The sequence below is a fragment of the Homo sapiens genome, chromosome 12, assembly GCF_000001405.40.
Source record: "Homo sapiens chromosome 12, GRCh38.p14 Primary Assembly".
Classification (NCBI taxonomy): Eukaryota; Metazoa; Chordata; class Mammalia; order Primates; family Hominidae; genus Homo; species Homo sapiens.
Genome location: NC_000012.12, coordinates 32,746,208 through 32,768,169, shown reverse-complemented (window position 1 = coordinate 32,768,169; position 21,962 = coordinate 32,746,208). Strand labels below are relative to the sequence as shown.

Here is a 21,962-nt window from a genome sequence, read left to right as displayed (position 1 = left end):
ATAGGAATAACACAACTGCGATTTATCAATTTCATTGTGTACCAGGTACTTATTATATAAGGTGGCATTTAATCTTCATGACAACCCTGTAAAGTGCATTAGAATCACTATTCATAGTTGACTTGCCCATGATCATTGTAGAGGATCTGATCCCAAATCTGATTCCAAAGCTTATATACTTATCCGTTACACAATATTGCCTTTCAAATCATAATCAGATGGCTATTTGGGGAACATGGAATCAGAACCAGGAGAGTGAAATGAATCAAATGAGAATTGGTAGATCAGTCAAGATTCAGCACAGGAAGAAACAACCCCAGGTATTTAAGGAGCAATCAAGAAGGAATCATGTGTAGTCCCAGCACTTTGGGAGGCCGAGGCGGGCGGATCACGAGGTCAGGAGATCGAGACCATCCCGGCTAAAACGGTGAAACCCCGTCTCTACTAAAAATACAAAAAATTAGCCGGGCGTGGTAGTGGGCGCCTGTAGTCCCAGCTACTTGGGAGGCTGAGGCAGGAGAATGGCGTGAACCCGGGAGGCGGAGCTTGCAGTGAGCCGAGATCCCGCCACTGCACTCCAGCCTGGGCGACAGAGCGAGACTCCGTCTCAAAAAAAAAAAAAAAAAAAAAAAAAAAAAAAAAAAGAAGGAATCATGATTATGGGAAGGACCAAAGGAGCAGGAGTCAAGGGGCTGCCACTGGACCTACCGTGTCCCAGTGACTAGGAGATCATAAAGCTGGGATAGGAAGTGGTAGCTGCTTCTCCTACTTCCATAACTGCCTCTCAAAACCCATGAAGCTGGACACTAGATGCAAGAACACTGAGTTACCTCTTTCACTTCCTGATACATTCCCACGACTTGCTTCCCAGGAGAAACAATGTCAGAAGGATGACCTCCGCCTCACCAATTTCTCAAGAGTATATCTAATTCAAGGAACCCATTCATGTTTAGAACCCTACCTGCAAGGGGATCTAGGAAATGGAGCTTTCAGCTTTCTAGGACCTGCAGCACAGAAAAGCACATAGAAGGAGTTAGGAATAAATGTCAATCCAATCTAACTAGCATGAATAGTATCAGACTAAGACAGCCTGATGTGCTCATCTCACAGCAAACCTGAGCAGCAATACCAGTACCATCTGTAAGATCTTGCTAAGCTATAAGCTCTACAAGGACAAGAGTCATATGTCTTCTTATCAGTGAAATTCGCAGAGCCTAATATAGGTCCAAAACATAATAAATACCTCTTGAATGAAAAACTACATAAAGATCTTGTGCAGAGTGGCCAAGATGATGTCCTTTGCTGTCAGAAATATCTGGATTCAACTATTAGTAAGTCTCTTCATCTGTGAGCTAGATAAAAATAATTGCTTTCTGAATTTTTGTAAGAATTCAGTAAAATAATGCATGTAAAGCATTTAATGCAATGCTTAGCACACATAGAATTCACTAGTGTTTGTTGCTATTATTAGTTGTCGTTACCAAACTTTGGTGTCACTTCAAACACCAAAACATTTTACATGAGGAAAATGTGCCTTTAAACCACAATTCTTTGAATACTTATGAGCCTGAATATTTTCTGTATTATATTGGCCATTGGGATTTGTGTGTATGTGTGATTTGCTTATTCATTTACCTAGGAAAAAATCTTCTGGACATTGGCCTAGGCAAAAAATTTATGGTGAAAACCCCAACAGCAAATGCAACAAAAACAAAAATAGACAAATGGAACTTCATTAAACTAAAAGGCTTCACACAGCAAAAGAAATAATCAACAGAGTAAATAGACAATGTGTAGAATGGGAGAAAATATTTACAAATTATGCTGCTGACTAATATCCAGAATCTATCTACAAGGAACAATTCAACAAGAAAAAAAAACTAAACTAAAAAAAAAAAATAAACATTAAAAACTGGGCAAAGGACACAGACATTTCTCAAAAGAAGAAATACAGGCAGCCAACAAACACATGAAAAAAATGTTCAACATCACTAATCATCAGACAAATGCAGGCAGCCAAATTAAAACCACAGTGAGATATCATCTTACACTAGTCAAAATGGCTGTTATTAAAAGTCAAAAAACAACAGATGTTAGCGTGCATGTGAAGAAAAGGGAACGCTTGGCTGGGCATGATGGCTCATACCTGTAATCCCAACACTTTGGGAGGTTAAGGCAAGTGGATCACTTGAGGTCAGGAGTTCGAGACCAGCCTGACCAGCATAGTGAAACCCTGTCTCTACTAAAAATACAAAATTAGCCGGGCGTGGTGGCACATGCCTGTAATCCCAGCTACTTGGGAGGCTGAGGCAGGAGAACCACTTGAACCCAGAAGGCAGAGGTTGCAGTGAGCTGAGATTGTGCCATTGCACTCCAGCCTGGGCAACAAGAGTGAACCTCCATCTTAAAAAAAAAAAAGAAAAAAGAAAAGAAAAGGGAATGCTTATACACTTTTAGAGGGAATGTAAATTAGTTCAATCTCTATAGAAAACAGCATGGAGATTTCTCAAAGAACTAAAAAAAGAACTACCATTTGACCTAGCAATCCCCTTACTGAGTATCTACCCAAAGGAAAAGAAATCATTCCATAAGAAAGACTCAGCATTATTCACAATAGCCAAGTCATGGAACCAACCTAAGTGTCCATCAATGCTTGACTAGATTTTTAAAATGTGGTGTATATGCACCATGGAATAATATGCAGCCATAAGAAATAATGAAATCATGTCCTTTGCAGCAACATGGATGGAGCTGGGGAACATTATCCTAAGTAAACTAACTCAGAAACATAAAATTACTGCATGTTTCCACTTATAAATGGGAGCTAAATAAGGAGTACACATGGACATAAAGAGGGAAATAATGGACACTGGGGATGCCAAAAGCGGGAAGGATGGGAGCGGGCAATGGTTGAAAAATTACCTATCAGGTACAGTGCTCACTATTTGGGTAACAGGCACACTAGAAGCCCAATCCCCACGATTACACAATATGCCCATGTAACAAACATGCACATGTACTCCTTGAATCTAAAATAAAGTAAAATTCGTAAAAAAGAATCTTACACAAAACATTAAAAATCTTTAACTCAAAATTTTTTTTAGGCCAGGCACAGTGGCTCACTCACAGTGCCTGTAATCCCAGCACTTTGGGAGGCCAAGGAGGGAAGATTATTTAAGGTCAGGAGTTTGAGAACAGCCTGGGTAATGTAGTGAGACCCTGTCTCTACAAAAAATAAATTTAAAAAAAAATTAGCCAGGCATGGTGGCACATGCCTGTGCTCTCAGCTACTCAGCAGGCCGAAGTGGGAGGAGCACTTGAGCCTGGGAGGTCGAGGCTGCAGTGAGCCGTGATCATGCCACAGCCCTCCAGGCTGGACATTGCAAGACCCTGTTTCAAAAATACCCATTTTTAAAATTAACTTGTTTTCCAGAGTAGAAATGTTAGATAGAATGTCTGTAAAATTTATTCCCAAAACAGGACATTTTCGAGAATAAAAGGGGTCATATAAATAATTAGGCTGAGACAAGAGGCATATAAACCAGGGCTACATTCACCTATTTACTGGAAGCTTTCTCAAATATATAGTGTGACATCATGTTACAAGTCCATTGGAAAGGTGTCTCAGTTGGTGCTATGTGCTAGATATTTGGTCACCATCTGACACCATTGTGTCCCTGATTGCCACTCCCCTGAACCTCCTTAAACTGTGCTTGGAGAAGAGTTACGTGAGACATACAATGGGAAGGGGCATGGGTGTCTAAGATTTCCTTTGGTTTTAGAAAAAAATAGCTATGAGAATACAGAGGAGTTGTTTTCATTTGCTATCTCTGTTAGTGACACCCTTCCAGGTCGGTCTCCCACCCACGGGCAGCTTTGAATGAGATCAATGGCAATTGAAACTGTTTGGATCTGAGCAAAGCTGCTTGGATTTTCACTGGATCTTTCTGCAAATATGATATATGTTTCATTGGTCAACTATCACTTTCTAAATCTTCAATCTTAATTTTTCAAAACTTGTCATAATACAGTTTCCCTCTAATAACAGCCATGTAAGCATGACTTAAACTGGCTTCTACTGCTTAAGCAAACCTCAGTAGAGGAGAAAATAGATGTATTTATTTATTTATTTTGTAATAGAGTCTTGTTCCGTCACCAGGCTGGAGTGCAGTGGCATGATGTCGGCTCACTGCAACCTCCGCCTCCTGGGTTCAAGCAATTCTCCTGCCTCAGCCTCCCAAGTAGCTGGGACTACAGGTGTGTGCCACCATGCCCAGCTAATTTTTTGTATTTTTTGGTAGAGATGGGGTTTCACCATGTTGGTCAGGCGGTCTCGAACTCCCAACCTCAAGTGATCTGCCTGCCTCAGCCTCCCAAAGTGCTGGGATTACAGGCGTGAGCCACTGCGCCCAGGCTTTTTTTTGTTTGTTTGTTTTTTTCTTTGAGAGGGAGTCTCACTTTGTCACCCAGGCTGGAGTGCAGAGGCATGATCTCTGCTCACTGCAACGTCCACCTCCCAGGTTCAAGGGATTCTCCTGCCTCAGCCTCTCAAGTAGCTGAGATTATGGGCGCCCATCACCATGCCCGGCTAATTATTTTTTGTATTTTAGTAGAGATAGGGTTTCACCATGTTGGCCAGGCTGGTCTCAAACTCCTGACCTCAAGTGATCCGCCATCTTGGCCTCCCAAAGTGCTGGGATTGCAGGCATGGGCCACTGTGCCTGGCCGATGAATACATTTTTAACCTCCTCCCTGGTGTGGTGGCTTAAATAATGAAGTTAAAGCTGAGAAACAATAAATGGGACTTTTGACTACTGTGATAGCAAACAGGCATTTCAGAATTGTAGAGGTGAATGAGATTTTAGAATTCATCTAATCCAGCCCATTTACTTTTTTTTTTCTTTTCTTTTCTTTTTTTTCTGAAATGGAGTCTTGCTCTGTCGCTCAGGCTGGAGTGCAGTGGCGAGATCTCAGCTTGCTGCAATCTCTGCCTCCCAGGTTCAAGTGATTCTCCTGCCTCAGCCTCCCAAGTAGCTGGGACTACAGGTGCCGGCCACCATGCCTGGCTAATTTTTTGTATTGTTAGTAGAGACAGGGTTTCACCGTGTTAGCCAGGATGGTCTCGATCTCCTGACCACGTCGTGATTTGCCTGCCTCGGCCTCCCAAAATGCTGGGATTACAGGCATGAGCCACCGCGCCAAGCCCAGCCCATTTACTTCTAAAATGAGGACACCAAGGCTAGTGTGTTAAATGACTTATCTAAGGAGGAACAGGTAGTCAAGGTTAAGCTGAGATAGCTACTCATGTCTGTGACTCCTAGTCCCATGGTCTTTGGACCACGACTCAGAAGCACATTTTGTTATGGTTGTGAGGATGAAGGAAGTAATATTTGACTTTTCTGCAAACATTATGTAAATACAAGGTATTTGTTCCCCTTATGATGTTACAGAACATTAATGAGTGAGATGTTTCCAGACTTATTTCTCATTTTGGTAACTAACCAGTCAGTGCTTATAACAGAAAAACATAAAGTCCGTATTGAAGACACTGAGAAAAAAAGACAAAAATAGTTTTAATCAAAATAGAATTGCTCTACAAAACATAGAATGATTGCTTATTGTTTTGTTTCTTCTCCAATGGAGATATAAATTCACTTGGCCTTGATGGAGGGACAATGATGAGTTGATTGATTCACTTCTACTCTGTCAGAGAGACCAGAAAATTACTAAGGTAACTTGATAAATAGGAAAATTCCAAAATGATCTTCACTGAAGACATTATCCATTTGATCTAAGCTTTTCAGATGCAATCACAATAGTGTCTCCAAGATCCTCTTTCTAAGAGGGAAGCCTGCTTTTCTCATCACATTAGCAAACAGCCAGGCGGATTCGTTGCTTGCCAGTCATGGCTGAATTACAGTCCCGACAACATGGCCTGGGAAAGAACATGCTGGTAGGGGACTGCGGCGGCTATCACCAAGCTCAGAGCAGAAGGGGTGGATGTTGGGGAAAGGGTTCTGCGAGGAGAAAAATTCACTGCAGCAGGAGTGAAGGGAGACACAATTACATATTGAAAGGGGAAAAGCTGTTTGAATTCTACTCTACACCTCAATCACCACCCTCCTACAAGGGATGTCTTTCCCTTGGTCATATTCTCAACAAATGTTTCTCTCCCACAGCCCCCTCCTAATCTGCATGTTCTTCAACAGCTACCTAGGAGTCACTCTCTCTCTGCTCCAAAAATTGGGCGTGGAAAAGGAGCCCAATCAGAAAGAGGAAATGAAGAAAGAGGAAGTGAAGAATAAAACTGCTCAGAGAAAAATAACTTCATAGAATAATATTATCTCCATGAGGACAGGAATCTTTCTTTCATCCATGAATATATCCTAAGCCATTAGAACAGTGCCTGACTGATCAAATAATTCTAATAAATATCTGTTAAATGAATAAGCAAACATCTATGTCCTTAACCCACTAGAATGGTAGGAAATTGTTTCTCCATCATTATTAGCCTCCTTCCCGCTTCTAGGGTTTTACCAAAATTTGATCAACGTGCCCCAGGAAATAATATCTCTAATTTCCAATTGGTTCTGATCATTCTAGCCATCCTTGTTGGCCAAGCCTTCAGTGGTTCTCTGAGACCTCCAGCTGGCACTCAGGGGCTCTCCTGCCTCAAATGAAGCAGAGGAACCTTAGGCAAAGCCAGGAGCCCCAGGCTGGAAGTGTAGCAGGAGGTCGTCCCTTTGAGGCCAGGGAGCAATGCACAGCTCCTCTGGCAAACCAGGGCCATAGCCAGGGCTCCCTTGCCCAGGTTTGGGGCAGGGGCACTCTCTTTAAGCTGGAGAATCCTACCTCTTTCTCTTCTCTAAGCTTATTTCCTTAAACTTCATCCTATCTTAGGCTTTTGACTTTTGGAAACAAAAGTTACAAAGAGTTCCAGGATGACTCTGTATTCCTCCCCGACTTGTACTTTCCCCAAGGCACTGACACACAGAACTTGCTACAAATGGACAGTTAAAATGAAGAGAGGAAAATGAAAGATTTTTTATTTCTTTGTTTTTTTGAGACGGAGTCTCACTCTGTCACCCAGGCTGGAGTGCAATGGCGTGGTCTCAGCTCACTGCAACCTCTGCCTTCCGGGTTCAAGCGACTCTCCCGCCTCAGCCTCCTGAGTAGATGGGACTACAGGCGTGTGCCACCACACCTGGCTAATTTTTGTATTTTTGGAAGAGACGGGTTTTCACTATGTTGGCCAGGCTGGTCTCGAACTCCTGACCTCGTGATCTGCCCACCTCGGCCTCCCAAAGTGCTGGGATTACAGGCGTGAGCCACCGCACCCGGCCTGGAAAATGAAAGATTTTTAAACCCATAAATATCTCAAAACATTATCCAGCCATATGGTATGGGACCAGGTGCATAAAGTTAAGGCAATGCTGAGACCTCCAGGTTATTCCACTGGCTACAACAGCAGCCTAAAAGAAAGAAAGAAAGAAACTTGGGGTATCCTTCTCTAAACTCTAATATAGAAAGGAAATGCATATCTAGTAACATGTTTCTTTGTCTAATTATCCTCCTACAATCAGCATCTTAAAATAAGCTAATCTCTTATAAAAAATTTTTGGATGTTAATATGACCATCAGCTCAAAAAGCATTAAAGCCACTTCAATCAAGGGACACAGACTAGGTTTCAAGACACTTAGCTCACATAAATTTCTATAAATTTTAATAGAACTTAATGGTCTTTCCATTTTTTTGTGTGGGAAGGGTAAGCATTATTGATTTTACATTTTAATACATTTTAGGGGCATGATGAACCTGGACAGTAAAAGCATCCTTCCTTCGCCCTACCTAATGCAGAGGAGCTTCCTGAAAGAAATTAGTTTGGAATGAAAGGGGAGCAACTGCCTTGCAGGTAAGGATGGGCAGAGTGGGAGGATCTTTAGGACTTTAGATGTAGGTTTCAAGAAAAACAGCAACATGAAAGTCATGTGTGAGAAGATGTAATTATGAGGCAGATTGAGTTATAAATTATTATACAAAGACAACAAAGACATGAAATCAATCTTTAGAAATGATTCTTCCCAAGTAATAGGAGATAGGAATGTCATGGAAATACTTCAACTGGAAGAAAAGCCATGGAAATACTTCAACTGGAAGAAAAGCCATGGCCTTTCTGCAATAACCTACAATTTCTTTTTCTTTTCTTTCTTTTTTTTTTTTTTGAGATGTTGTCTCACTCTGTTGCCCAGGCTGGAGTGCAGTGGTGCTATGTCGGCTCACTGCAACCTCCGCCTCCCAGGTTTAAGTGATTCTCCTGCCTCAGCCTCCTGAGTAGCTGGGATTACAGACGCCCGCCACCACGTCTGGCTAATTTTTGTATTTTTGGTTGAGACGGGAGTTTCACCATGTTTGTCAGGCTGGTCTCAAACTCCTGACCTCAGGTGATCTGCCCGCCTCAGCCTCCCAAAGTGCTGGGATTACAAGCGTGAGCCACCATGCCCGGCCGTAACCGGGCATGGTTACGTAGGTTTACAATTATAGGTTTACAATTTCTATTTCTTGTTCCTATCCACTCCCTTTTGCATCTGATGTCACCAATAATCTTCTCCAAGGAAAAAAAAACAGAAAACACAAATAAGAATTATATTTTATAGTGATTATAATGATCAGAATTCCTCAGACTTCTTTCTGCTGTCATTTTGCTGTGATGTTCGAGCAGCTCATATTTCAGCCCTAATCAGATCTCTGCTGTAATCTGAATATATATTTAATACAATGCTAGAGATAGAGAAATTTTCAAAGTTAAGTAGAGATCAGTTAAAATACCATTACTGTTTACTCTGTGTCTTTTGAATTCTATTATATTTATATTTGTTTACATTTTGAAAACCAAGCCATTTAAAACAGGGATCCCTTCAAAGAGAACATTTATGTGGCATTTTGTTGCAGGAAAAGGTAACTGTAAAACACATGTGCCTCTAATTCAAGGCCAGTTAACCTCAAGTTATTACAGTTGAGATAAATCATATTTTTAAAAATACTTTTTAACCCTTGTTCACTCACTTTTTAAGCCAATAAAAACAGCAAGAATTAACTTGGTCACTTTTTTGTAACCCAAATGCAAACCATGGGTGCAATCCCATAAAATTTTAGCCACGGATATAATTCCAAAGGTTTGAAAGTCCCATCTTCTTTATTGCTCCTGTCTTTGGGACAAAGCCCAATTTCCCCTATAATACCAACACAAATTATAAAAAGAGAGTAATTGATCTCACTGTATTTTCCAAACTTGTTGCTTGTTACTGTCATTAAGCTACTGTCAAGTCTCATCTAGCACCTCCTGTGACACCACCTTCTTTTTTTTTTTTTTTTTTTGAGACGGAGTTTGGCTTTCGTTGCCCAGGCTGGAGTGCAATGGCATGATCTCGGCTCACTGCAACCTCCACCTCGTGGGTGCAAGCAATGCTCCTGCCTCAGCCTCCCAAGTAGCTGGGATTACAGGCATGCGCCACCATGCCCGGCTAATTTTGTATTTTTATTAGAGATGGGGTTTCTCCATGTTGGTCAGGCTGGTCTCAAACTCCCAACCTCAAGTGATCCGCTCACCTCAGCCTCCCAAAGTGCTGGGATTACAGGCGTGAGCCACCGCACCCGGCCCGACACCACCTTCTATATCAGACTTTGCTGCCTCTTCATGAGATGCAACTAAACTTAAGAGACAAAGCAGAGCTCAAATCTATTTTTAAAAGACTTTATAATAAATTGTAATCCCAGGTAGAAATTTTCTATTTCTCATTATCCACAAAATTCTTCTCCATTAAGCACAGGTCATCAAGTAACCCTGACATCAAGTAACCCTGGCATACTGTTGTAACAAGTAGGATTTTCAAATTACTAACACACCTGTAAAAGCCAGAGAGTTGTGTGTCACCAGAAACACATGTGTGCCCTATGTATTAAGGTACTAAATAGAAAGCACCATTTGCTGTGTGTGTGACAGTACTGATTCCATGTTAGAAGAAAGCTTGCTTACTTGAATACAATTATTACTTTGCTTGATTTTGTAGATCATTCACTAAAATCAGCCTCAGAAAAACAGGATCTTGAACAGAGATAAAAGAAAATACCTAGATCAGCCTCTCTGTGAATGGGCTGACCGACCTAATAAGAATAGGCTGATGGTACCTGCAGAAAGCCACAAAATATTGACCAAGAAAGCAATGATTTACTGCCGACCTGAGACTGCACACGTTTCACAAAAATCTTTTTATCATCCTTTCTCTTAATTGCCCTTAAAAACCAGAGGTGGTCTTTGAACGCTAGCTCACTGCATCCCCCAGGGTTGCTGGTCTCTTGAATAAAGCTAACTTTACTTTCACTACAGCTCTTCTCTTGGGTTTTTGGCTTTCAAGTGACAAGTGGCCCAGATGTGAGTTTCCTTACGTGTGCTCAGGAGAATTTCCTGCCATACCTACTGAAATCTGTCCCTGATCAAAGTGGTGGACCATATGACTGCAGATTGGCCTTGCGAAGTAGCTCATGCCTGTAATCCCAACACTTTGGGAGGCAGAGGTGGGAAGCTTGCTTGAGGCCAGGAGTTTAGGACCACCCTGGGCAATACAGTGAGACCCCCGTCTCTACAAAAACAAAAAATAAAAATTAGCCAGGCATGGTAGTCCACACCTGTAGCTCCAGCTACTTGGGAGGCTGAGGCAGGAAGATCGCTGGAGCCTAGGAGTTCAAGGCTGCAGTGAACCATGATCCTGCCACGGCACTCCAGTGTGGACAACAGAGTGACACTTAAAAAAAAAAAAAACACTGAAGATCAACAGGTTATGATTGCAAATTTTAAGATATTTTGAACACACTATTTTCTTAAGCAGTTGGGAGTATGTTTAATAGCCTATTGAATGAGTATCTCAAAATCCTATTGAAGTTACTATTTGGCAATGAGAAACTAATTCACTGATAATTATACATGCAAAGAAACTAATTATTAAAATAAGTTTTCATTTTGTTAGATAACTTTATAACGTTAAAAAATGGAAAAGTCCTGTAGGGAATGATTTGGAACATGGCCCAGATCCCAGTCACAGGACCAAGGCACTCAATCCCCCAGCTGCTGGGAGTGTTGGTTGCTTATTGCTCACAGCTGAGTCCCTTCCTGCACATCTCACTCTCCAAAAGCCTTAACCCAGCGTTTTGCTTCCTCCCCAGAAACATCCCACATTTAATGAGCAGTCAGTAAGAGGGTCTAAAGGTCTGCCCCCTGGCCTCAATTCAGGATGACTCTGAAAGGAAATCCCGGCTCCAGAGCCCTTACTGGATTGCCTGAGGCCTCTATTACAAATTGTTCACAGTTCAACTTCTTTCTCCCTCCGCCCAACCCGGCCTCCCTCACTCCATTATAGGTGTTGTTCTTAAGAGCACACTCCAATTACCCTCCTGCAAACCAGTCTCCCCCCCAACTCAGAGTCCAGGGAATTCTACCTAAGACGATTTTGAAAGCGGTCCTAGAAATCAGGCTCTAACATGGGATTTTGAAGCTAGATCACCTGCCAGCCAGCTGCCAATAAGAACCTCATCCCTGGTCAGTATTCAGAGCACCTGTCACGCTGCACGATGTGATTACTAACTTGAATCCACTCATGCTAAGCTGTGTCCCAACCTAGTTAACTGTATTTAAAATAAATAAACCACAGGACTTGATGCATGTACTTTATTGCACTGAGTTTTTCTTGCTATACCTTGGACAAGACTGCCACCTCCTGGAAGAGCCGATGAATACTGGGGACGAGGTGCAATTAGGGAATCGGTACTATGAAATTGCTTGCGTCTCAGCAGCAACTCCCTATCTCTCCGCGAACTTAAACCAATTCCTAACCTTTCTCAACCTCTGTGAACAGCTTTTTGCATGGAACCAAGACTTCAAAGAACTTGCGCATCACAATCTTTTTACGTGAAAATGTAAATACAAGTTAGCATTTGTGAAGCGTTATGTGCCAAATGCTTTAATTTTTAAGGCTCACAACAGCCTTATGAGGTAGGAACTATCATAAGCAGATCCACACTGCTGATGGAAAAATTAAGTTTAAGGGAACGTAAGGCGACGGCTCTGAGGCGGAATCGCCACTTGGAGTCGGGACTCAACTGCTGAGAGCGCAAGCTCCGTAACTACGTAACCGTCTCGGGCATGCGCAGAAAAACACTGAAGCACCTTCCCTAGGAGCTGTAAGTAGGTGGGTGTGGTGGGAGCCTCTGCAATCCCAGCATTCCCTTCGTGCCGCTACCAAGATGGCGGCGCCCATCTTGCGGTCCTTTTCCTGGGGCCGGTGGTCTGGTACCCTAAATCTCTCAGTATTGTTGCCCTTGGGGCTGCGTAAGGCCCACTCGGGCGCTCAGGGGTTACTGGCAGCGCAGAAGGCTCGAGGTCTGTTCAAGGACTTCTTCCCGGAGACGGGGACGAAAATAGAGCTCCCAGAGCTCTTCGACCGTGGCACGGCGAGTTTTCCCCAAACCATTTACTGTGGCTTCGACCCCACGGCAGACTCGCTTCATGTGGGTCATCTACTTGCGCTGCTGGGCCTGTTTCATTTGCAGCGAGCGGGCCACAACGTGATCGCGCTGGTGGGAGGCGCCACGGCGCGCCTGGGAGACCCGAGCGGCCGTACCAAGGAACGCGAGGCGCTGGAGACAGAGCGCGTGCGAGCCAACGCGCGAGCTCTGCGCCTAGGGCTTGAGGCCCTGGCGGCTAATCACCAGCAGCTTTTCACTGATGGGCGCTCCTGGGGCAGCTTCACTGTGCTGGACAACTCGGCCTGGTACCAGAAGCAGCACCTGGTGGACTTCCTGGCGGCAGTGGGGGGTCACTTCCGCATGGGGACGCTGCTGAGCCGGCAGAGCGTGCAGCTGCGGCTCAAGAGCCCCGAGGGCATGAGCTTGGCCGAGTTCTTTTACCAGGTGCTCCAGGCCTATGACTTCTATTACCTCTTCCAGCGTTATGGATGCAGGGTCCAGCTGGGCGGATCTGATCAACTAGGCAACATCATGTCCGGATATGAGTTCATCAACAAGTAAGTGCCTTTAAACCTTGGGGAAATCCTGGGACCAAATAATTTACACACTAGTAGCCTGTGATTCACTCTTAGGATTGTAGTTGCTGCCCTTCGTTCCAGCTCTTGTTGGTTTTATCCCCATTAAGGCTCTATAATGGCGTTAATAACACTGGCTAATAAGAATTAAAGGGCTGAATTAAGGGTATTAAGAGTAAACGGTGTATTCTAAAAATTAGCTGGGCGTGGTGATGCACGCCTGTAATCCCAGCTATTCGGGAGGCTGAGGCAGGAGAATCTCTTGAACCCGGGAGGCGAAGGTTTCAGTGAGCCGAGATCGCGCCACTGCACTCCAGCCTGGGGCAACAGAGGGAGACTCCGTCTCAAAAAAAAAAAAAAAAAAAAGGGAAACAGACCACTAGTGAAGATTTGGTCGGTCTGTTTTGCTTCGCCTAAGTCGTCCTCTCTAATTAGAGAAACTGCTTTTGTGTGTTTATACCAGAACGTGACTGGGCCTCCTTGAGTAGCTAGCCTCTGCTTTAGCTCTGCACCCTCCATGAAACTAGTGTTAGTCCTTGGTTGGTATCTCAAAAAGTTTTTTCAACTCCAAATAATTGACAAGTAATGCGGGTCTAATAGCATTTTCTTGAGAGAGGTGAAGGATAGGGCTAGCTCATGTGCAACAGAGCAAAGCACATGTTTAAAAGGCGTTTAGAAGATTTCCTTTAGTGTCTCTTCCTGACACCCCTTCACCCAGTTTTCTCCTTCCCACTCAGCCTTTCAAAATCTCTAGTCCATTGTTATGTAGCACTTCCCCTTGGCCTGCCTAGAACCTGCCTGGAACCACTCATGAGGTTCAGAATGAATAGAGTAAGTACTGTAACAATACATAAGAGGAACAAGAATTCAGATTTAGGAGGTCAAGGAAGTTTTCCTGGAGCAAGTAACCAGAAAGAAATCTGGAAGGTGAACAGTAGAACCTACCACCACTTGTGCTTGAGGCACATAATGAAATTGTTCTTTATGCGTAGGTTGACTGGAGAAGATGTATTTGGAATCACCGTTCCTCTAATTACAAGTACAACTGGAGCAAAGCTGGGAAAGTCTGCTGGCAACGCTGTTTGGCTAAACAGAGATAAGACATCTCCATTTGAATTGTATCAATTCTTTGTCAGGCAACCGGACGATTCAGTGGAAAGGTGAGTTCTGAATAATGGGCTGAGAAAAACTGACACCATAAACTCATGATGTAATTTTAGCCATTGAATCTATGTACATTTTATAGTTTTTTTGTTTTTAACGTAGTTTCTGTCTGTACATAAACCATTACATCATAGAAGACTAATTTTTACTGTGTTCTAAAGTTAAACACTTTGTTGGTTAAAGCAGAAAAACAGTGGGTGGCTAGAAAATGTAGAGCCAACTTTTTGATCTGTATCTAGCAAGTTCTTAGGATTTTATCACCTGCATATTCTAGTTTTTTCACTCCTTTCAACTTAACCTTGACTACCCTTATTTTTCCTTTGTCTCTCTTCTCTCACAAATATGACTTTAAAGATCCTCTTAAGAAATGATTTCTCCTTAAATCAAATTGCCTTAAACTCTTGGAAGAATATGAATTAATGAGAAACAAATATACCTGCAACAAAAAGTGAAAAAAATATTTTGATGCTCTGTAACATCAAAGTAATCTAGGAATAATTCTTTAAGACTTAAAAGGTATATGACTTTCCTGCAAAATATTAAAAGATGCTATTGAGCAAAATAAAGACCTACATAAATGGAGAGTTAGACCATATTCATAGTACAAAAATAATATCAGTTCTTTTTTGTATTTTTTGAAACAGAATCTCACTCCCATTGCCCAGGCTAGAGTGTAGTGACGCAGTCTTGGCTCACTGTAGCCTGAAATTCCCAGGCTCAGGTGCACACCACCATGCCCAGCTAATTTTGTATTTTTTTTTTAGTAATGGTGGAGTTTCACCTTGTTCCCCAGGCTGGTCTCAGACTCCTGGACTCAAGCGATAAACCTGCCTCAGACTCCCAAAGTGCTGGGATTACAGCATGAGCCCCCGCACCCGGCCAAGATACCAGTTCTGGATTTGATCTACATTTAGTACAGTGCCAACCATATCTAAACCGGCTTTTTGTGGAACTTGACAAGCTCATTGTAACACTGACATAGAAATAAAAAGGGCTAAGATTGGCCAAGATGTTTTTGAAGAACAGAGTGGAAGATTATCATGCCTTATTACAAAATTTTGGTAATTGTGTTTTTTTCTCTTTAGATTTAGTCCTAGAATGTTTGACGATATAGTCCTGGGGTTTTGATGTATTGAGAATTGATAATCTTTTTTTTTTTTTTTTTTTTTTTTTGAGGCAGTGTCTCACTTTGTTGCCCAGGCTAGAGTGTAGTGGCATGATCTTGGCTCATTGCAACCTCCGCCTCCTGGGTTCAAGTGATTCTCCTGAGTAGCTAGGACTACAGGCATGCGCCACCATGCCCAGCTAATTTTTGTATTTTTGTAGAGGCAGGGTTTCGCCATGTTGGCCAGGCTGGTCTCGAACTCCTGACCTCAAGTGATCCACCTTCCTCAGCCTCCCAAAGTGCTGGGATTACAGGCTTGAGCTACCGCACCCGGCCTAGAGAATTTAGATAATCTTTTCAAAAATTGCATTTTCTATCTGGTTCTGGTGTATAGAAATACAATTACTTTATATATATTACCTTTAAATCTAGCAACTCTGCCAAACTCACTATTTGATTACAGACGTGAGCCACTGCGCCCGGCCCAATACTGTATTTCTTGACCATGGTGATGGTTACATAGATGTTTTATGATTCATTAAGCTATATCTTTGTGAATAATGTACTTTTTTCTGTGTGTTATATATATTTCACCAAAGAAAAAGAGAATACATATAGGATGATATTATAGTCATATATCACTTAACAATAGGGATACATTCTGGGAAGTGTGTTGTTAGGTGATTTCATCATTGCAAATATCGTAGAGTGTCCCTGCACAAACATAGATAGCATAGCCTACTACACACTTAGGCTATACAGTGTACCCTGTTGCTCCCAGGGTAGAAGCACATACAGCACATTACTGTACTAAATACTGAAGGCAGTGATAACGCGAGGGTAAGTATTTGTATACGTAAACATAGAAAAAGTACAGTAAACTATGGTATTATAATGTTATGAACCACTGTTGGACTGTACCAGTCCGTGGCCTGTTAGGAACAGGGCTGCGCAACAGGAGCTGAGTGGCAGGCGAGCGAGCATTACACCTGGGCTCCATCTCCTGTCAGATCCACGGTTGCATTAGATTCTCATAGGAGCACAAACCCTATTGTGAACTGCGCATGCAAGAGATCTAGGTTGCGCATTCCTTTTGAGGATCCAACAAATGCCTGATGATCTGAAGTGGAACAGTTTCATTCTGAAACCACCTCCCCTCCCCGCCGCCTCGTGGTGCCAAAAAGGTTGGGGACCGCGGATATATGTAGTCCATCATTGACAGAAACATCATTATGCAGAGCATGATGATTTATATCAGTTTTTAAAATTACACAGTACTTTTTTTTTATGGCCACATGCACATGAAAGTATAAAAACATGCTTGGGAAAGATGGCAGCACATAAACTTAGATTTATGATTATCTCGGGGCAAGGAAGGGAATGTGATTGGACTGCGGCCTTCATCTATGCCTATTTTGTTCCTTTTAAAAAGAAAATACGAGGCTGGGCTTGGTGGCTCCTGCCCATAATCCCAACACTTTGGGAGGCTGAGACAAGAGGATCACTTGAGCCCAGGAGTTTGAGACCAGCCTGGGCAACACAGGAGACCCCGTCTTTACAAAAAAAATATAAAAATTAGCCAGGCGTGGTGGCACAAGCCTGTGGTCCCGGCTGCTTGGGAGGCAGAGGTGGTAGAATTGCTTGAGCCCAGGAGGTTGAGGTTACAGTGAGCCATGATCATGCCACTGCACTCCAGCCTGGGCAACAGCAAGACCCCCATCTCAAAAAAAAAAAAAAGAAATTGAAAACAAAGATGCCAAAATAGTAACACCTTAAATCTGGGTGATGTGTGCATGGGACCTACTATGTTCAGTACATTTCTGTATGTTTGTTTCATATTTAAAAGTAAGCAGGATAACCTTAAAGGGTAGAAGAGCTGGAGATAAAAATTAGGTATGTTATATAAGTGTAACTCTTTATTTTTTGTCTCAAAGGTACCTGAAGCTGTTCACTTTCCTGCCCCTTCCAGAGATTGATCATATCATGCAGCTGCATGTCAAAGAGCCAGAAAGGCGGGGTCCTCAGAAACGACTGGCAGCAGAAGTAACAAAGCTTGTTCATGGACGAGAAGGATTGGATTCTGCTAAAAGGTAGTAGTTTAGTATGATTAACACTTGATAGTTAGTTATTCAGTGGATAGACATGAGAAAAGTAGGAGTATGTTTTAGGATTATCTTGTCATTTATCACAAGGACTGTCAGTATTTGACTTAGCAATTTAAAATAGCCCCTGTTTATTGGAAAGAAGGATTATCTTGAATTAAGTTTATGAATTATACCAGATAGATGTTTAAAAAACTTTTAGTCTATGCCGGGCGCGGTGGCTCACGCCTGTAATCCCAGCACTTTGGGAGGCCAAGGTGGGCTGATCACGAGGTCAGGAGTTCGAGACCAGCCTGACCAACATGGTGAAACCCCCATCTCTACTAAAAATACAAAACTTAGCTGGGCGTGGTGGCACACGTCTGTAATCCCAGCTACTCAGGAGGCTGAGGCAGGAGAATCGCCTGAACCCGGGAGGCAGAGGTTGCTGTGAGCCGAGATCATGCCATTGCAATCCAGCCGGGGCAACAGAGCGAGACTCCATCTCAAAAAAAAACTTTTAGTCTAGAACTTGGACACTCTATAATTGGTTAATGGGTATTAGAACATGTATTTGAATAAACATTTATATGATGTAGCTCTTAAAATGTGTTTTTCAGGTGTACACAAGCCCTTTATCACAGTAGCATAGATGCACTGGAGGTCATGTCTGATCAGGAGTTAAAAGAGTTGTTTAAAGAAGCTCCATTTTCTGAATTTTTTCTCGATCCTGGAACAAGTGTCCTAGATACTTGCCGCAAAGCAAATGCCATTCCAGATGGTCCCCGAGGGTAAGATTATTTAACTTTTAGATTTACAGTTAATTCACCATTAAATGTTACAGTTCACAAGGCCAGGAGAAGTGGCTCATGCCTGTAATCACAGCACATTGGGAGGCCGAGGCGGGCAGATCACGAGGTCAGGAGATCGAGACCATCCTGGCTAACACGGTGAAACCCTGTCTCTACTAAAAATACAAATTAGCCGGGCATGGTGGCAGGCGCCTGTAGTCCCAGCTACTTGGGAGGCTGAGGCAGGAGAATGGCATCAACCCGGGAGGCAGAGCTTGCAGTGAGCGGAGATCCCACCACTGCACTCCAGCCTGGGTGACAGAGCAAGACTCTGTCTCAAAAAATAAATAAAATGTTACAGTTCACAGCATGTGTTTCCAGAGAGGATGTTTTCCTGATAGTGCTTTAGTGGCATCTCTTCCTTAGAAAAGTTAGTTTAGTCCAAGAATAAAGTATAGCCTGAGAGTACTTATTGTTGAAAATACTTTATATTTTCTATAATAGTACAGTACTCCTATACTGTCTCTTATTATATCTAACCCAGTCAGTCTTTCCTCCAACACTGGAAAAGTGCATTTGAGGGACATGTTCAGTAAATACACTGGCATCAGTGTACGGCTTAGGGATATGGTCACAGTTTTAGAGGGATGCAGAAACAGAGGCCCTATGTAACAGATTAACACAGCCCCTCTCATAGTCTGTATCCTTTTTATATTCGGGGATGGGAAAGGTTACCTAACCTATCTATAGTATTAACTGAATTTCTGAAAATGAAATGAGCATATAATGGCCAAAACCGCAAGTACTTTTGCACTAACCTACTAACGTCATAAGACTATTATTGTAAACTATATAATAATCCCCTTGAGAATTGCATTTTCTATTCAGGAATTGAGTAGAATATTTTAATTAATCAGTTATGAGGTATTAAGGAGTAAATAAGGTTTTTCACAAAAAATAATTCAGCATATAATTGATGCTTATCCATTTTTAAATGAACAGTGAGGTGGAAGGAAAAGTGTTGGGTAGCCAGAAGACCCCCAGGTGCCTCTTTTGCAGGAGTTCACACAGAAGTCAAATGGTTATCGGCCATATCATGGCCATGATTATGAATGACATTTGTTATAGTTGTTCTCTTTCAACTGTCTTGGATTGTTTGCCTGTGTCCTAAAGAGTCCTAGACTATTCTGCCTGGAAAAAGCACCCATTGTCTCCCTTTGCATCACCTGCCACTCCACCTTAGTGATTCCCTCATCTGCTGGTTTAACACACAGTGAATTTGAGGCTGGTGTCATATACTTCCCTGTAGTATGTCAGCGAGACAAATAATTTTCCTCACTATGGAAGCAGATTTCGTTTTCTTCTGAACTTTACTATAGTGTGTTCGCTAATACTGGAAGCTTTACCACTACTAAAAATGACACCACATCTGATTTAGCCAGGGCTCTAAGTAATACTGATTTTTTTTTTTAATATTATATAAGCTAAATAGGTTTGGTGCATTTAAATTAAACATAGAACATGATCTGGAAACTAGCAGACAGCGTAAAATAATACTTCCTAAAAGAAAGGAATCTGGCCTTAAGTAGAAAATATTTTACTGATGAGTTTTATAAAACCATGTCCATGGCCAGGTATGGTGGCTCACATTTGTAATCCCAGCACTTCGGGAGGCTGAGGGCGGGAGGATTGCTTGGGGCCAGGAGTTCAAGATCTGTGTGGGCAAGGACGTAGTGAGACTCCGTCTCTACCCAAAAATAAAGGTATAAAAATATCTTTAAAACCATGTCCAGTAGTGGTTTCTTAATTTTATTTGGTAACATTCAGATGAGAGAAAACCACCATTTTTCTTTCTTAAGGACTTCCAAGATCTAGCCACGCTGTAGCCCTGTCTTCTCAGATCTCACCTCTTTCTAGCTGCTCCCATGTTTCCTGCCCTGATTGTCAAGGTAGCTTCACTCCCAGTTTAAGTATCTCTTTTTTCAGTGAAATGTTCAGCCCTCACCTACCCAGTGTGCTCCTAGAACAACTTCTCCTAGGTCTTTCTTTTTTTTTCTTGAGACGGAGTCTTTAAAAGAGCAGATTGCAAGGCGTAAATTCCGGCCAGACACAGTGGTTCACACCTGTAATCCCAGCACTTTGGGAGGCCAAGGCAGGTGGATCACTTGAGGTTGGGAGTTTGAGACCAGCCTGGCTAACATGGCGAAACCCATCTCTACTAAAAATACAAAATTAGCCAGGTGTGGTGGCATGCACCTGTAATCGCAGCTACTCTGGAGGCTGAGGCAGGAGAATCACTTAGAACACAGGAGGCGGAGGTTGCAGTGAGCTGAGATCATGCCAGCCTGGGCTACAGAGCAAGAATGTGTTTCAAAAACAAACAACAAAAAACAAAGAGCAGTAAAGAGAGGCAGAATCTATTAATAATAGAGCAAACATGAAGGTAACAGTCCAGTGCCAAATGAAATCTTCTCAATTGGAGAGCCTCTGAAATCTAAGTGAAACAGTCTTTTTTGGGGGACAGATCAACAGTGATTGGATCTCTCTACTTACTAAACGTTTCTATTTTTTAGGTATCGAATGATAACAGAAGGCGGAGTCAGCATAAATCACCAACAAGTAACAAATCCTGAGAGTGTTTTAATTGTTGGACAACATATTCTCAAGAATGGACTTTCCTTACTTAAAATAGGAAAAAGAAATTTCTACATTATAAAATGGCTTCAGTTGTGATGAAAAGTCCTTCTGGTTGTCCAAATAAACTTACCCATCATTCATTCTCAAGACCTCTGAAGGGTTGGCTCCAGAACTTAGACCTTTGCTTATGCAAATCAGAAAAACAGAATGGACTAGGACTCAGTGTGAGTAACTTCATTATTTTTATGGGCCGGTTAATAAATATTTGTTTAATAATGGGATGTTTTATTTTCTGATGTACAAAGCTTGATTACCATAGAAAACCATGATTTTCAGGGTTAATCTCTTTTTAAAATTATACTTCAGAAGAGAAAGAAATGCTGCTTTCCTATCTTACCCTTCCTGCTCTCCTTTTTGTAGTGATGAGGAACAATGAAAAAGAGGTAGTGTAAGGAATTGTGAGGCTGGGCATGGTGGCTCACACCTGTAATCCCAGCACTTCGGGAGGCCAAGGTGGGCAAATCGCTTGAGGCCAGGAGTTTGAGACCAGCCTGGCCAACAGGGCGAAACCCCGTCTCTACTGAAAATATAAAAATTAGCCAGATGTGGTTGCAGGCACCTGTAACCCCAGCTACTCAAGAGGCTGAGCTGCGAGAATCACTTGAACCCAGGAGATGGAGGTTGCAGTGAGCTGAGATCACGCCACTGCACTCCAGCCTGGGAGACAGCATGAGTAGTGAGTGAAACTCTGTCTCAAAAAAAAAAAAAAAAAAAAGGAATTGTAGCTGCTTTTCTATCAGGTATGGAGCACCGATGTCACTAATGTTATATAGTTGTTTATAAAATCATCAGGGCCTCTAGTGTCCACATTAGAAATGGGAAAACTAGTATTAGAAACTTTGAATAGAAATTTGATTTTTTTGTAGTTCAGAGAGCAAATGTAGTTCTTAAAAAGGAGAAAAAGTTAGATGAGGCCATGGTTGCTTTGAGAAATTACAGTAAGTAGTTTCTTTACAAATAATAGTACAAAAATCAGTACGTGACTTTTCAGAAAGTTTCTAATTCAGTTTTCTGGTTCCTTGCCTGTGTTCC

The 21,962-nt window shown here is 42.3% G+C and overlaps 1 protein-coding gene across 1 annotated transcript, besides 6 other annotated features; it reads left to right on the top strand.

Annotated features, from left to right (window-relative positions):
- Window positions 11,414-12,053: an enhancer, noted in NCBI's record as "H3K27ac hESC enhancer chr12:32909051-32909690 (GRCh37/hg19 assembly coordinates)". NCBI's record gives its function as "activates a minimal SCP1, AML or CMV promoter by ChIP-STARR-seq in primed H9 embryonic stem cells {active_cell/tissue: H9 hESC(primed)}" and the evidence as "EXISTENCE:reporter gene assay evidence [ECO:0000049][PMID:30033119]".
- Window positions 12,054-12,693: an enhancer, noted in NCBI's record as "H3K27ac hESC enhancer chr12:32908411-32909050 (GRCh37/hg19 assembly coordinates)". NCBI's record gives its function as "activates a minimal SCP1, AML or CMV promoter by ChIP-STARR-seq in primed H9 embryonic stem cells {active_cell/tissue: H9 hESC(primed)}" and the evidence as "EXISTENCE:reporter gene assay evidence [ECO:0000049][PMID:30033119]".
- Window positions 12,258-12,487: an enhancer, noted in NCBI's record as "active region_6192". NCBI's record gives its function as "activates an Ori minimal core promoter by ATAC-STARR-seq in GM12878 lymphoblastoid cells {active_cell/tissue: GM12878}" and the evidence as "EXISTENCE:reporter gene assay evidence [ECO:0000049][PMID:35858748]".
- Window positions 12,273-21,626, top strand: YARS2 (tyrosyl-tRNA synthetase 2). The gene is made up of 5 exons (NM_001040436.3): window positions 12,273-13,074; window positions 14,085-14,252; window positions 17,296-17,451; window positions 18,063-18,233; window positions 20,807-21,626. The coding sequence occupies exons 1-5, from the start codon at window positions 12,296-12,298 to the stop codon at window positions 20,964-20,966; spliced, it is 1,434 nt and encodes a 477-aa protein (NP_001035526.1). The 5' UTR covers window positions 12,273-12,295; the 3' UTR covers window positions 20,967-21,626.
- Window positions 12,508-12,607: an enhancer, noted in NCBI's record as "active region_6191". NCBI's record gives its function as "activates an Ori minimal core promoter by ATAC-STARR-seq in GM12878 lymphoblastoid cells {active_cell/tissue: GM12878}" and the evidence as "EXISTENCE:reporter gene assay evidence [ECO:0000049][PMID:35858748]".
- Window positions 12,694-13,333: an enhancer, noted in NCBI's record as "H3K27ac hESC enhancer chr12:32907771-32908410 (GRCh37/hg19 assembly coordinates)". NCBI's record gives its function as "activates a minimal SCP1, AML or CMV promoter by ChIP-STARR-seq in primed H9 embryonic stem cells {active_cell/tissue: H9 hESC(primed)}" and the evidence as "EXISTENCE:reporter gene assay evidence [ECO:0000049][PMID:30033119]".
- Window positions 12,978-13,137: an enhancer, noted in NCBI's record as "active region_6190". NCBI's record gives its function as "activates an Ori minimal core promoter by ATAC-STARR-seq in GM12878 lymphoblastoid cells {active_cell/tissue: GM12878}" and the evidence as "EXISTENCE:reporter gene assay evidence [ECO:0000049][PMID:35858748]".